The sequence below is a fragment of the Homo sapiens genome, chromosome 10 (assembly GCF_000001405.40).
Source record: "Homo sapiens chromosome 10, GRCh38.p14 Primary Assembly".
In the NCBI taxonomy this organism is placed as follows: Eukaryota; Metazoa; Chordata; class Mammalia; order Primates; family Hominidae; genus Homo; species Homo sapiens.
The window spans coordinates 69,541,197-69,555,261 of NC_000010.11; the positions used below are offsets into that span (position 1 = coordinate 69,541,197).

At 46.0% G+C, this 14,065-nt stretch overlaps 1 protein-coding gene across 4 annotated transcripts in view; it reads left to right on the plus strand.

Annotated features, from left to right (window-relative positions):
* Positions 1-8,312, plus strand: part of TSPAN15 (tetraspanin 15) — a 98,044-nt gene extending 89,732 nt beyond the window's left edge. For 3 of the 4 annotated variants that reach the window (XR_001747072.2, XR_007061952.1, XM_017016010.2), the window contains one exon: positions 1,911-8,312. The gene's annotated coding sequence lies outside the window, so the exon portion shown is untranslated. The remainder of the gene's footprint in view (positions 1-1,910) is intronic. The other variant, XR_007061951.1, reaches the window with a different exon arrangement.
* Positions 8,313-14,065: the final 5,753 nt, after the last annotated feature.

Sequence of the window (14,065 nt, forward strand, 5' to 3'; positions counted from 1 at the left end):
GAGAGAATATACAGGAAGTGTTTGGAGGGTTCAGTGGGAGGAGGGTAAGTTAGGGGTGGAGGAGGGCAGACCAAGAGAGGCCAGGAGGAGCCCACCTCTTGCATCAGCATGACCTGGATGTAAGACATGGAGTCAAAGGAGATCATTTTGGAACTTTAAGCAAGTAGTTACTTCCTACATACAGGCATTTGGTACAGGCATTTGGTAAATACACCCATTCCAAATGGGAGAAATTGGCCAAAACAAAGGAACTACATGCAAGTCCGAAATCCCATAGACTTGGGCAGCTCCACCCCTGTGGAGGATGATGACCCTCTTCTCACAGCTCCACCAGGCAGTGCCTCAGTGGGGACTCTGTGCAGCAGTGGGCTCCATCCCCACATTTCCCTTCCTCAGTGTCCTAGCAGAGGTTCTCCCTGAGGGCTCCGCCCCTGCAGCAGACTTTTGCCTGGACATCCAGGCGTTTCCATACATTGTCTGAAATTTAGGCAGAGGTTCTCAAACCTCAATTCTTGACTTCTGTGCAGCTGCAGGTTCAACACCTGTAAGCTGCCAAAGCTTGGGGCTTGCATCTTCTGAAGCAATGGCCTAAGCTATACATTGACCCCTTTTAGCCACAAGTGGAACTGAAGCAACTGGGATGCACTGGTCCCCCAAACCATTTTTCCCTCCTAAGCCCCTGGGCCTCTGATGGGAGGGGCTGCTGTGAAGTTCTCAGACATTCCCTGGAGACATTTTCCCCATTGTCTTGGTGATTAACATTCGGTTCCTCGTTACTTATGCAAATTTCTGCAATGGGCTTGAATTTCCCCCTAAGAAATGAGTTTTTCTTTTCTATCGCATTGCCAGGGTGCAAATTTTCTAAACTTTTATGCTCTGCTTCCTCTTGAACGCTTTGGTGCTTAGAAATTTCTTCTGCCAGATACCCTAAATTCTCTCTCTCATATTCAAATTTCCACAGATCTCTAGGGCAGGGGGAAAATGCCACCAGTCTCTTTGCATAGCAAGGGTGGCCTTTACTCCAGTTTCCAACAAGTTCCTCATCTCCATCTGAGACCACCTCAGCCTGGACTTCATTGTCCACATCACTATCAGCATTTTGGTCAAAGCCATTCAACAGGTCTCTAGGAAGTTCCAAACTTTCCCACATTTCTCTGTCTTCTTCTGAGCCTTCCAGACTGTTCCAACCTCTGCCTGTTACCTAGTTCCAAAGTTACGTCCACATTTTGGGGTATATTTATACTAGTATGTCACTCCTGGTACCAATTTACTGTATTAGTTTGTTCTCATGCTGCTAATAAAGACATATCTGACACTGGGTAATTTATGAAGGAAAGAGGTTTAATTGACTCATGGTTCTGCAGGGCTGGGGAGGCCTCAGGAAACTTACAATCATGATGGAAGGGGAAGCAAATACATCATTTTTCACCTGGCAGCAGGAAGGAGAAGAATGAGCAAAGGGGGCCGGTGTGGCAGGGGGGAGCCCCTCATAAAACCATCAGATCTCATGAGAATTCACTCACTATCACGAGAACAGCATGGAGATAACCTCCCTCATGATTCAATTACCTCCCACTGGGTCCCTCCTATGTCATGTGAGGATTATGGGAACTATAATTCAAGATGAGATTTGGATGGAGACATAGCCAAGCCATATCGAGCAGTAAATCTAACAATTAAGATACACAGGCTTTGGAATGAGACAGACCTGGGTTTGAAAGTCTTGGCCACTGTCAGCTGTGCAATTTTGAGCAAGTATTCAACCTCTCTGGACCAAAGTTTCCACATTTGGATAGTTGGGGTAGGGGTGGGGTATTTGTCTTTCTCCCTTTAGGGGAAGTCTTTCATGGTTGGAGATACACATCACTGCCTTTCCATCCCATGTCACCCTATTTCTTTGCTTTGCCTAGAAGGCCATGAGGAAGGACTCTGGAAGATGTCTGAATACTAGAAACCCCGAGAGCCAGAAGAATGCATTCGTCTGTGGTTCAAGCTAAGTATGGGTAGTGCCAAGATGGTTTCTGATTTGGTCTCCACCACATACAGTGATTCCAAAGGGGGGTAAGACATCCTTCCTCCTGCCCCAGTGTCAGCCCTTTGCAGTCTATCTCGGTCTGCTTTTCAAGTACCCCTAATATCTTGGCACTTCCTCATGGTGAAAAGTCTCCTTCCTCCCCTTCCTGAACCCATCCATGTGCCCAATGCCCAAAGGACATTTGGAGGGATGCACTTAAAATCAAATTCGTCCACTGTCTATTTGTTGAGATAAGGTGTGGTGACAACAGCAGTCCAAGGGGACTACTAGCAGCCTCAGAATCCAGCCACCCAGCCCTAGCCTTGTCAGGGCCACTCCTGGGCTGGGCACACTTGTAGGTGGGGAGGGAAGGGCAGCATTGTCAGAGAAGACAGACCAAGCTGCAGCTGCCCTACTGGGAGGCTGGGAGGCCTGAATAGCTTCACAGCGCTGGGCCCTGCTTGCTGAATGGGGGCTTGGCTCCTCCCTGGCGGTGGTCCGGAATGGATGACATTTTCATTGCAAGCTAACAAGGGGAGAAATCCAATTACTTCACAAAGAGGCTCCTGAAGGGGCCTCACAGCCTGGAGAAAGAAGGGGAGGAGAAGAGGGGGAGAGGGAAGGAAGAAGGGGAGTGTGTGTGTGTGTGTGTGTGTGTGTGTGTGTGTGTGTGTGTGTGTGTGTGTGTGTGTAGGGAGGCTCCCACCCAGACCAGGAAAGGAACAAAGCCCTCAGGCCTCCAGGACATGGCCTCCTGCATACAGGCAGGGAGATTGGAACTGGGGGGCTTTTAATTGATTTCCAGTGGGTCAGAGGGTCTGCCTGGAAACTCCAGGTCCCTGAGAGCTCCAGGCAATCAGGCTTCCTCCCTGTGGAACAACCTGAGTGGTGCAGAAGAGGCCCCAGCCCTATTTCTCTGCCCCATCAGACTACAGTTTCCCTGACCTGAGTCATCAAAGGCCCATTATACACTTTTTTACCTTTGTTGCATCCACCTAAACTATTAATCCCTTTTTGAAACATTTATTTAAAGTGTATTATTTAAGCTCAGTATTTTGGAAGTTTATATCCTAACTGCAAATAGAAAAAGTAGAAGCTAATTCTAAATAGAAATACAATTCAAATAGCCCAATGTTGTTGAACCTCAGGGAGCTGAAAGCCTTGGGCTCTCTGGGGTGGAGGGTGGGAGTGATGGGATGGTGGGGTTAGCAAATGTTTGCAATCCAGATTTCTCCCAGGTCTAATCCAGGAGGAAGAAGAGGATTGAAAAGGGAACACCTCCCTCCCGCAGCGGTTCAAAAGCTGCTCCAGGCAAGGCTATGCCTCCAGGTCTTCCACACCTGCCCCCAGGGTAGTGGGTGTGGCGGCTTCACGGCCTTGCTGCCCTTAACTTTGGTTGCCCAACAGCTAGCTTAGTCCTCTCTTTTCCTCTTCCGGAAAAGAGAGGCAAAGTTAGGAACGATTGAGTACTGGATAGACCTACTTTCTGTGAGTTGTGGGGTGGTCACTGGAGTCCCAGAAAGTGTGAGAGGCCTGGGGGAGGTGGAAGATAATGGCAGTTCCAGGGCCACAAGCGTGTCCAGTCTCCCGCTCTCCCTCCCCTTCGACTCGGGAGGAAGGGCTACAGACCCCATCTAGGAGGAAATTAGCATTCGCTTCCTCTGGCTCAGCCAGAGCAAATCGGCCTTCAAAAGCCAGCGGCCTGGAGGCCACACAGCGCGCCCCTTTGTGGCTCCCACGCCTTGCCTCACCCTCTCCCCCAGCCGACTGAACTCCCTAGCTCCGAAGAGAGCAAATGGGAGTCTCCTGAGGCACAAGGACCTGGGGTGGGGTGGGGCAGATCTTCCTCAATGCCCTCTCCAAACTGGGGGTCCCGCCTGCTTCTCCTGTCCTGTGGAGGCTTTTTGGTGAGCTTTGGTCCCAAAGGAGTTTAGGCCCCAAGGATGGCACAGTGCTAGTCCTCACTCCCCCTTTACCCCCGGGAGATTCAGGCCAAGTGGGAAGGCTGAGGGAGGGGCAGTGCTTGCTAGAGGGCATGGCTCAGGTTAAGCTCCACCCACTCAGATTTGTGTCCAAAAGTGGACAAGGACCACCCTGGGCTTTGGGGACTTCCTGCTCCCCTCTGATCTCCCCAGGCCATCTCTGTTCTCAGAATACTGGAGGAGAGGAGGCTACGGAAATGCGGGTTTCATCCAGAGACTCAGGGGCACCCCTAAGTCCTCAGCGGGCTCACCGGTCAAGTCAGATGCCTGGGGAGGGAGGCTGAGGGGAAGGGCTAAGGTGAGGATGATCTGCACAGTCGGAGGCAGTCAAAGAAGCTTAAAGAAGGTGAAGCTTAAATAATAATCATAGCCAACAAAAGCAGGCACCAGGATTTCCTAAACACCTAAGGGATTAACTGCTTTACCCTCCACTACTCTAGGAGGTAGCTGAGGCTGGCTAACTTGCTTAAAAATCCCAGCTAGGCTGGGTGCGGTGGCTCACGCCTGTGATCCCAGCACTTTGGGAGGCGGAGGCAGGCGAATCACAAAGTCAGGAGTTCGAGACTAGCCTGGCCAACATGGTGAAACCTCGTCTCTACTAAGAATACAAAAAATTAGCTGGGCGTAGTGGTGGGCACCTGTAATCCCAGCTACTCGGGAGGCTGAGGCAGGAGAATTTCTTGAACCCGGGAGGCCAAGGTTGCTGTGAGCTGAGATCGTGCCACTGCACTCCAGCCCGGGTGACAGAGTGAGACTCTGTCTCAAAAATAAAACAAAACAAAACAAAGCAAAAAACAAACAAACAAACAAAAAAACCAAACAAACAAAAATCCCAGCTAGTGGGTGGCCGAGTTTACCTTGTATTTCCTTGCTATCTACCCATTCCTAGTCCGTATTCTTCACCTCCTTGTGGCATTTGATTTTGTTAAGACTCAATCTTTTGGCTTCCAGAACTCCACTCTCTTCCTGGACTCTTCTAACCTCTCTGATCATTCCATGTGCGTCTTCCTAGGGGCCCACCCAGGGCTTCTGCTGCCAGGGCAGTGTGTGTATGCACAAACAGAGAGCCTGCGTAGTCTCTAGATTCCAGATACTCTCTGGAGTAGTGCAGTTTGGCAGTGTTGACCCTACCCCTTGAATGTGCCTGGGGTTTATTCCTTGGCCTTCTCATCTGTAACCAGACTCATTGTTTTAACATTATCTCTTCCCTGATGACTCCCAAACTTTTGTCTCTATCCTTGACAAATCCCATGGCCTATGGGACACATTCATCTGGATAACTCAACTCAAAAACACAAGAGGCCATCAACTGAACTCATGCTTCCTCCAAACCTTCTCACACTGGAATTTCTGTCCTACGCATCCAAGGTGGAAACTCTTGGGTTCTCATTGATTCAACTCTGCCCTGACACCCTCATCTCCCTTTTCAACCAAACACCTCTCCTGCCCCATTGTTTTTGCCAACCCAACATCCAATCACCAAGGTAATTCTGCCTTTGAAATCTCTCCTGCACCTCCCCTCTCCTCATCTACTAAGTCTCCATCATCTCATACTTTGACTATTTGACATAGATCCCTAACAAATGTCACTGCTCAGTCTTTCTGCTGCAGACAAAGAGCCCTTCAAACCCAGTCTCACAAAAATCTCCCTGCTCAAAGAGTTCTGTGAGGCCGGGCACAGTGGCTCACATCTGTAATCCCAGCACTTTGGGAGGCTGAGGCAGGAGGATCACATGAGGTCAGGAGTTCAAAACCAGCCTGGCCAACATGGTGAAACCTCATTAAAATACAAAAATAAAAAATTTAAATACATAATTTAAATTAAAAATTAATTAAAATACAAAATTAAAAATATAAAAATTAACCGGGCGTGGAATCACATGCCTGTAATCCCAGCTACTCAGGAGGCTGAGGCAGGAGAATCTCTTGAACCTAGAAGATGGAAGTTGCAGTAAGCTGAGATGGCGCCACTGCACTCCAGCCTGGGCAACAGAGTGAGACTCCATCTCAAAAAAAAAAAGGTCTGTGCCATCCCTTAACAAAACTCCTATCACTTGCTCTTCATCTTCCATGTGCTATGCACCCTATACCCCACTATAGGCACTTATCTAAACACTCCTTGTCTTTTCATATTTATTTATTCACATGTCCCATAATTTTTTATTTGATATCATCTATGAACCAGGCCCTGTGCTCACTGCTGGGAGAGATAAACATGAATCAGACCCTGGCCCTGCACTCTGGAGGATGAAGTCTGTTCTTCATGTTGTTGCTATTCTGCCATTTTGATATACCCTTTTCCATCAGAAAATGTCTACTCTCATAAATAGAAAGTCTTATATTTTTCCCACATATCAGTGCATCATTTTATGTATGCACTCCTTGGAGTTCATACAGTGCACTTTGAAGACATCTGGACTAAGACCCAGAAACAGGAAGTAAATAGAGTTTTTTGGTTGAAAGTGACAGAAAACCAATTCAAACAAGTAGGAAAGGGAATTTATTGGTTCACATAAGCAGGAAGTGCCGAGGTAGATTAGAGCTGACCTTAGAGACTCCAAGAACACATCACCTGTCACTCCCTCTGTCTGCCTCCTCAGGCCTTCTACCCTGATGACTTCTATTGCAGAGATGGGTGAAGAGTAGATGGTAGATCTGGTGGCAGAAAGCTATGAGCTTATGTCAATCCAGCCTAGTGATGCCCCTGGAAAAATATGTTCTTTCCTAGCATTCATCTAAAAATCTTAAGAAATGGTTGTCATTGACCCAATTTGGATAATGTATTCATTCCTGAACCAGTAACTGAGGCAAGGGGATGAAGAGCTCTGAAGGGAGAGGCTTGAATCACATACTCATCCCTGTGGTCTGGAGGGCACTGTGACTGGTAACTGAAGAAGAACCACATGGAATTGGGGAGGAGCAGTTCTCCAAAGGAAGGTGAGTGCTGTAATCAGAAAGGGGGGAAAGGATCGGGGGCAGACAAACACAAAAAATGCCACTACAGACAGTGTGGAGGCAAAACTAGACTACTGATCCTTGATTCTTTCCATTGCATTATGGTGTTGTAGCTAGATGATCAAACCACATATCCCTCAGAAGACAGGTATGATCCTAAGATAGTCCAGTCCTCATTATTGTACAGGAGCTGCATAGGCAGAACATTTCCTTACTCCTGATGTTTCTTTCTAGACTTCTGCTTCCAGTTGTAAGGGAAGCCCTATAATTGAGACAGACTTACCATTCTCCTGTAAACAGAAAACTTGACAAAACATATGAAATAACAGTTTTCAGACAATGGACTGTGATCCTTGAGAGAATGGAAACAAATGAGGTGAGCCCTGTGATCACCTGGCTTTCTGCTGGAGATTTCTGGTCTGTGATGCAGGGATGGGGAACCCAAAGAGAGCCTGGTGGTCTTGCTGAGTTGAGGATACAAAGAAGAGAATTCAGGAGGTTGAGGCAGCTAGGGTTTGCACGTAGTGGAAAGATTTTTACAGAGAAAGTTTCAGAAACATGCATAGAGCTCCCTTGAGTTCCCATGAAGCTAACTAAAAAAAAAATCCAGGGAAAGGACAATTACTTGGGAGAAGTAAGATAAAAAGATTCTTAGAGTTCACACAGGTTGGGGAATCATTTGAGGTTCTACTAACCAGGATGGAGACGCATTGCTATAATATGTGAGGCATTTATATATTTGATGAAAGATTCTAGAAGGGTCATATTTCAATGGTGGGGCTAACCTAGCTCTAGAGTGAAGGTTACTGTAGTCCCATTTTTTAAGAGCTTAAAAACAAGCTTTAAAAAGATTATAGTTGTCTTTTAATGGCCTCCAGGACAAAATGCAACCCCTCTTTAATGGAATACAATAAAATCAAGCACTCAATGATGTAAATTTGCATTACCCAGCATCTAATCAAGAATGACTAGAAATACACAGAATTAGAAATATGTTACCCATAATTAGATGTGGATGCTAAAGCAACTCCATCTTGGATGCTAATCTGCCATGTTGACTTCTGATTAACCCTGTTCTGGGAAGGCCTGTAAGATTTCTACTTTATCTACTGTTATCATACATGTTGCCCAGAGGTCAAAACAACCTTGATAATAAATTCTTCTCTCAGGCAGACTAACACAGCATTCTTGCCTTTCCCTGAGGAGTTGAATTCAACTGTCTTATACACTCCTTCCCTATGGTATATAAACCCTGGGTCTGGGGCAGGGATAATGGTGTGGGGATCCACCATCTTGTCTTACCACCATCTGAGACATGGCTTCTGTTAATAAGTCCCTATTAAATTTTTCTTTCTGATAAACTGGATTTGTCAGCCTCTTTCTTTGGATTCTCAGCTTCCTTGGCCTTTGGAGGTAGGTTTGCACAGACCTGCTCACTACAGAATACTAGGAGAAAAAGCAATCAATGAAAATATATCTGGAAATGACAGATATTAAAATGATTCTTACAGATATGCTCAACAATTTAGAGAAAAGCATGAACATAATGAGGAAATAAATTGAAGATAAGAAGACTCAAACAGAACTCCTAAGGGAGGAAAAATACAGTGTTTAAAATGAAAATGTTACCAGATAGGATGAAAAGCTAATTAGATACTGCAAAAGAAAAGATCAGTGAACTTGAAGACACACCTTAGAAACGATCTCAAACGAAGCACAGAGAGGAAAAAAAGAGTGAGATAAAAACCAATATCACTGATCTATGGGACAATGTCAAGCAGTCCGACAGACATAACACTGGAGTCGCAAAAGGGGATGTGGGGGCAGAAAAAACATTTTGAAAAAATAATGGGCAAACATTTTCCAAATTTGATGACAGCTATAAATCCAGATCAAAGAAGCTCAAGGAACCCCAAGCATGATAAATAAAAATAAAATCACACCAGGGAGCATTACATTTAAATTGCTGAAAGCCAGTGATAAAGATAAAATCTTAAAAGCAGTCAGAGGAAAATTAAGAAAAGACATTATGTACCTAGGAACAAAGATAACAATGACAGCAGACTACTCATCAGAAACTATGCAAGCTGGAAGACAATGAAACATCTTTAAATGCTGAAAGAAGAAAACCCCAAAAACCTATTAACCTAGAATTATGTTCACAGTGAAAGTACCTTTCAAAAATTAAGATGAAATAAAATTTTTTTAAAAATGCAAGCTAAAGTAGTAGAATTTGTTGCCAGCAGACTTGCTCTATAAGAAACATTAAAGGAAATTCTTTAGGAGAAGGAAAATGGTATCAGGTAGAAACTTGGATCTACAGAAAGGAGTGAAGAAAGCAGGAAATGACAGAGATGTGGGTAAATATAAAATATGTTGATTGTGTAAAGCAAAAGTAATAATGATATATTTGGCAGTTTATAATACATGTAGAAAGTGTATGATGACAACAGCACAAAGGATAAGAGGGAAAAATGGAAGTATGTTGTAAGGTTCTTAAGGTATACATGAAGTATATAATATATTATTATAATCTTATTTGATGATAGACTGTGATAAGTTAAGCAAGTATATTGTAAGCCCTAGAGCAACACTAAGAGAGTAATGAAGAGGCATAGCGACTAAGCCAATAATAGAGATAAAATGAAATCTTGATGTTTCCTTCTGTGTGTAGGGACCCCATTGGTATAACACACCTGGCTTCTCCCTGCTCTCTCTTTCATTCTGCTCCAGCGAATATTGAGTGACTTATCTGATTGGTGAGTTTGGCAGTAGCAGTCCAGGCTACTGGGTAGCTCACCCCATCCTTGGGTACAAGCTACCTGAAACGTAAACACATTTCTGCTCTGCCCTTGTGAGCAGGAGAGGCTAGTGATGGTCCAGTGTTGCTTATGACCTATGGGCATGTCTGACTAATTCTAGGTTTCCATGTTTAACAGTCTGCTTGCCTGCAGCCATGAGCCATGTTCTTCAAAGTCAGCCTCATTGGTAGCAAATGTGATACTTGGTCTCTATCTGCCTTGCTTCTTTGTCTAATTTCTTAATTGGTTTAGAAATCAGTATTTATGGAGATACTTCCCCCACTACAATGGCTGGCTTGACTGCCAGCTCCTGGATAGGAAAAGGATACTGGACTCCTCTCCTACCTGCCATATGTGATTGACCATGGGAGCTTGAGCATGGGGTCCTGGAAGGGGAAGGGATCGATGGTAAGACAAGGTAAAGAGAAATATTAATGCACAGGTGCCCTGTGAAGTGTGCTGGACCTCTGGGCTCAGAAAGGACCAAGGGAGCCTCAGGCGAGCCCAGTGGGGAGGGACAGCCTCAGCTTTCCTCCTCTTACTCCCCTGCTCAGATTCTACAATATCTCTGCCCCACTCAGCCAGGCAAGTTATGGCAATGGCACAAGCTGGGGGAAGAAGATCTGGATTCCTTGCCTAGCTGGGCCACTAATTTTCTATGTAAGCCTAACTGAGTTATGCTCCTCCCCACTCCCACCTCCGCATTCTGGCCTCAGTTTCGCCATCTAGAACAAAGAAATTGTGCTAAATAATATCTTGTAGTGGTTCCTTCTGGCCTTTACGGTTTCCTTATCTAGATCAGAGACTCCAGCCTAGGGCTACTTACAGACTTACTTTGTTTGGCCCACGCTGTGTTCTTTTTTTTTTTTTTTTTTCCAGTTATTTGCTGACATTGGGAAGATTTCACACACAAATCTGAATTTCCAGTTTCTCTTGAATTCTAAGTCTTAATTGCTACATAGAAATAGTAAGCTGGATTTAAGTGGTTCTTGGGCCCTTTAGGGGCATGGGGCCTCTCCAGGTGACCACAGCCCTCACTGAGCCCTGCCACTCATGCACGTTGCTTGCTTGCCCTGAAGCACTTGCACTGGGGTCTGTGCACAGACAGTAGGGCAGCTGCGATATGAGCCCAGGTCTCTGGGAATCTAGGCCAGTGTGATTTCTGCTATATTCTGTGGCCAGTCAAGCTCTCTCCAGATGGGCAAAGAGAAAAGAGGGACAATATTTCAGAACTGCCTGAGTTTATTCTAAGGGAAGCTGGACCTAGGATGGGGGATGAGACAAAGAACTTCATGGGTGCAGCAGGTCTCTTGGTGTCGTGTGGGAAACACAAGCAGAATCAGAAGTTCCCCTGGCCTCTCCCTGGGTCCTCTTTTTCCCACCCCCAACTAGTGGCTGAGCCAAGAGGCTGGAGCTAAAGCCTCTCCCCCATTGGCAACTTTACTGATCCCTCCCCTAAACTTTCACTCCAGTGGTTAAATCATTGTCAGAGACACAAGGTCAGGCTACCAGCTGGCTGCCCCATGCAGAGGAGGCCAGTGGTGGTGTTAGCATGGGGGAGAGCCTGCGGGACAACCTGCTTTGCATCTCCACAGCCTCAGATCCCACATTACACAGCCCCAGTTGTACTCCACAGGGTTCCTAGCCCAAAGTGATGCTGAGAGGTAATCTCAGCTCTGCTGACACCTCACCCAGGGAAGGCTCAAGGGTTCTGGGGTCAGACAGACCTGGAGTTGAGTCCTGGCTGCCTATCAGCAGTGTCAATCAAGGTCAACTGAATGCTCGGTACCTCAGTTTTTTCATCTGTCAAATAAAACAAGTAATAAAACTCCTACCTCATTGAGATGTTGTAAGGATGCGACGACAGAAGGATCGTAGAGTGGCAGCACTTGCTAGGCTTTCTGTAATTGTCCATTTTCTTTCCTCCCCTTGGCTCCCAGGGATCTGGTCCTGGGAGTCCTGGGAGTCCTGGGTCTCAGTGTCCTGTAGGCGGGGAAGATCTTCCAGAAATCGAACATGAAAATATAAAGCTATACTTTAGCTTTTAGGATGGCAATGAGAAAGTAGCGTCTACTTTTTAATGATGAAATCCCTTAGACTAATCATAATTTACAAAAGATGCAGCCCACTCAGTCCCCACAGCTATTGCGTGAGCATGATATAACTACGGTCCCCACTTGCAGATGGGAAAACTGAGGGGCAGAATGGCTCAGTGAGTTGCTCATGGTCACAAAGCCAATAAGTATCGGAGGTTGCTTCTGTTGTCGGTTTATATCTGGCCATGGGGCAAGGCTTTGCCCTTTTGAAGACTCAACTCACATGGTAGGGGGTTGTCCCCCCAACCCATCCCCACTATGGGAAGTGGAGCACTTTTTCCTGGCCCTTTCTCACCTGGAATACTCATGATGAATAGTCATATCCTTCTCCTTTTTCAAAGCTAGTAGAAATTTTGCCGCCTCTGGGAAATCTTCCCTGTTTTAATCTCCGGCAAAGATTTTTCCTTCTTCACCCTGACTTCTATGCTGCTCCCAGGGTACCCACCTCCCAGGAGCATGGGGCTTCTTATCTGCCAACTCAGCAACTCCTCTCTCTGGTTGGAAGGCTGGATGACAAACCCCTGGAGGGTGGGAGCCATGCTACATTGGCCTCCATTCCAACCTCCAGCCACGGAGTGCCCTCCTCCTACCCTTTCTTCCTCACTCCCGTCCAGGATGCACAGTCCACAGGCTTCCATAACACAAGTACAATCCTCTAGCAGTATGTAGCAAAAGCCTTAAATAGCACATAGCCTCTGACCTAACAGTTCTACTTTGAGGACATTTTTCTAAAGAAATAATAAAAAGATAGGCTGGGCACAGTAGCTCATGCCTGTAATCACAGCACTTTGCGAGGTTGAGGCAAGTGGATCGCCTGAGGTCAGGAGTTTGAGACCAGCCTGGGCAATATGGTGAAACCCCATCTCTACTAAAAAAATACAAAAATTAGCCGGGAGTGGTGGCACACACCTGTAATCCCAGCTACTCTGGAGGCTGAGGCAGGAGGATCACTTGAACCCAGGAGGCAGAGGGTACAGTTAGCTGAGATCGTGCCATTGCACTCCAGCCTGGGTGCCTGAGCAAGACTTGGTCTCAAGAAAAAAAAAGATATATGTATAAAAATGTTCATCTCAGTCTTATCAATAAAGGGCAAAAATTGGACACAACTTAAGTATCCAGTAGGGGATTTTTGGTTAAATATAATACTTTGCCTCAGTACACAGGATATTTGTAGTGATTAAAATGAGGAAGTAGATCTGTATTTCATTAGCACCAAAAGAGGTTCATAAGATATTAAGGGTAAAAAGATTATAAGACAAAAAGTATAGACTGATCTCTCTCTCTCTCTTTCTCTCTCTCTCTCTCTCTGTCTCTTCATATGCGTGTGTGTGTGTAGATAGAAAGATAGAGAGAGAGATATAATATCTACCAAATATAAACAGTGGTTCTCTCTGGGTGGTAGGATTAACAAGTGATTTAAAATCTTTTACTAATCTATACTTTCTGCAGTGAGTTACTTGAGAAATTGAAGAAATAAGGAAAATATTTATTTTAAAGCTGGTGCCACAAGTTGGGCTCCAGGGGCATCTAGGTAGCACTCCCCCACCTCTGTGGGAGACCCAGTAAGGGTAGGGGAGTCTGGGGGGGGGGTGGGGTGGGCATCAGGGGCATCAGGCTTTGTTCCTGGCCTGCGTTGGGCACTCACTCTCCATGAGGGACCTTGTCAGGCCAGGTGACTGTCCCACCCCAGCCTGCACCTGCTCCGTTAATCTTCCATGTCCCAGCCAGGTCGACAGAGCCCACTGTGTCTATTGATCTAAGAGGAGGGTGTGAGGGCCCAGGAGGGGTTCCTGCTCCATGCCTGTACCTGCCGTTGCTCAGCAGCTGGGGCCTGAGCAGGAACCCTTGAGGGGGGTCGAGTTTGTCAGGGCTGATGGATGACCTGCTGCAGGAAGTGGGAATGCTGATCTCTCCTGCCACTTCTCCCCACCTCCCTGGTCCAGGCTGTTCCTGGCAGCGTTAGTCCCCTAGGCAGGACGGCTAACAAAAGAAGCCAAGTTCTTCCAGCAAATGTCCATCAACCACTTGTAGACCCCTCCCCCAGCACACATCTGCAGTACCAAAAGTGTTCTCATTTTAACCTCCCCTTAGCCCAGGAACATAGGCAAATCAGATACTAACTTTGTCATAGATGAGAAAGGGAAAGCAACTAACATATATATATACATATATGTGTATATATATATATATGTATATATGTATATATATATGTATATA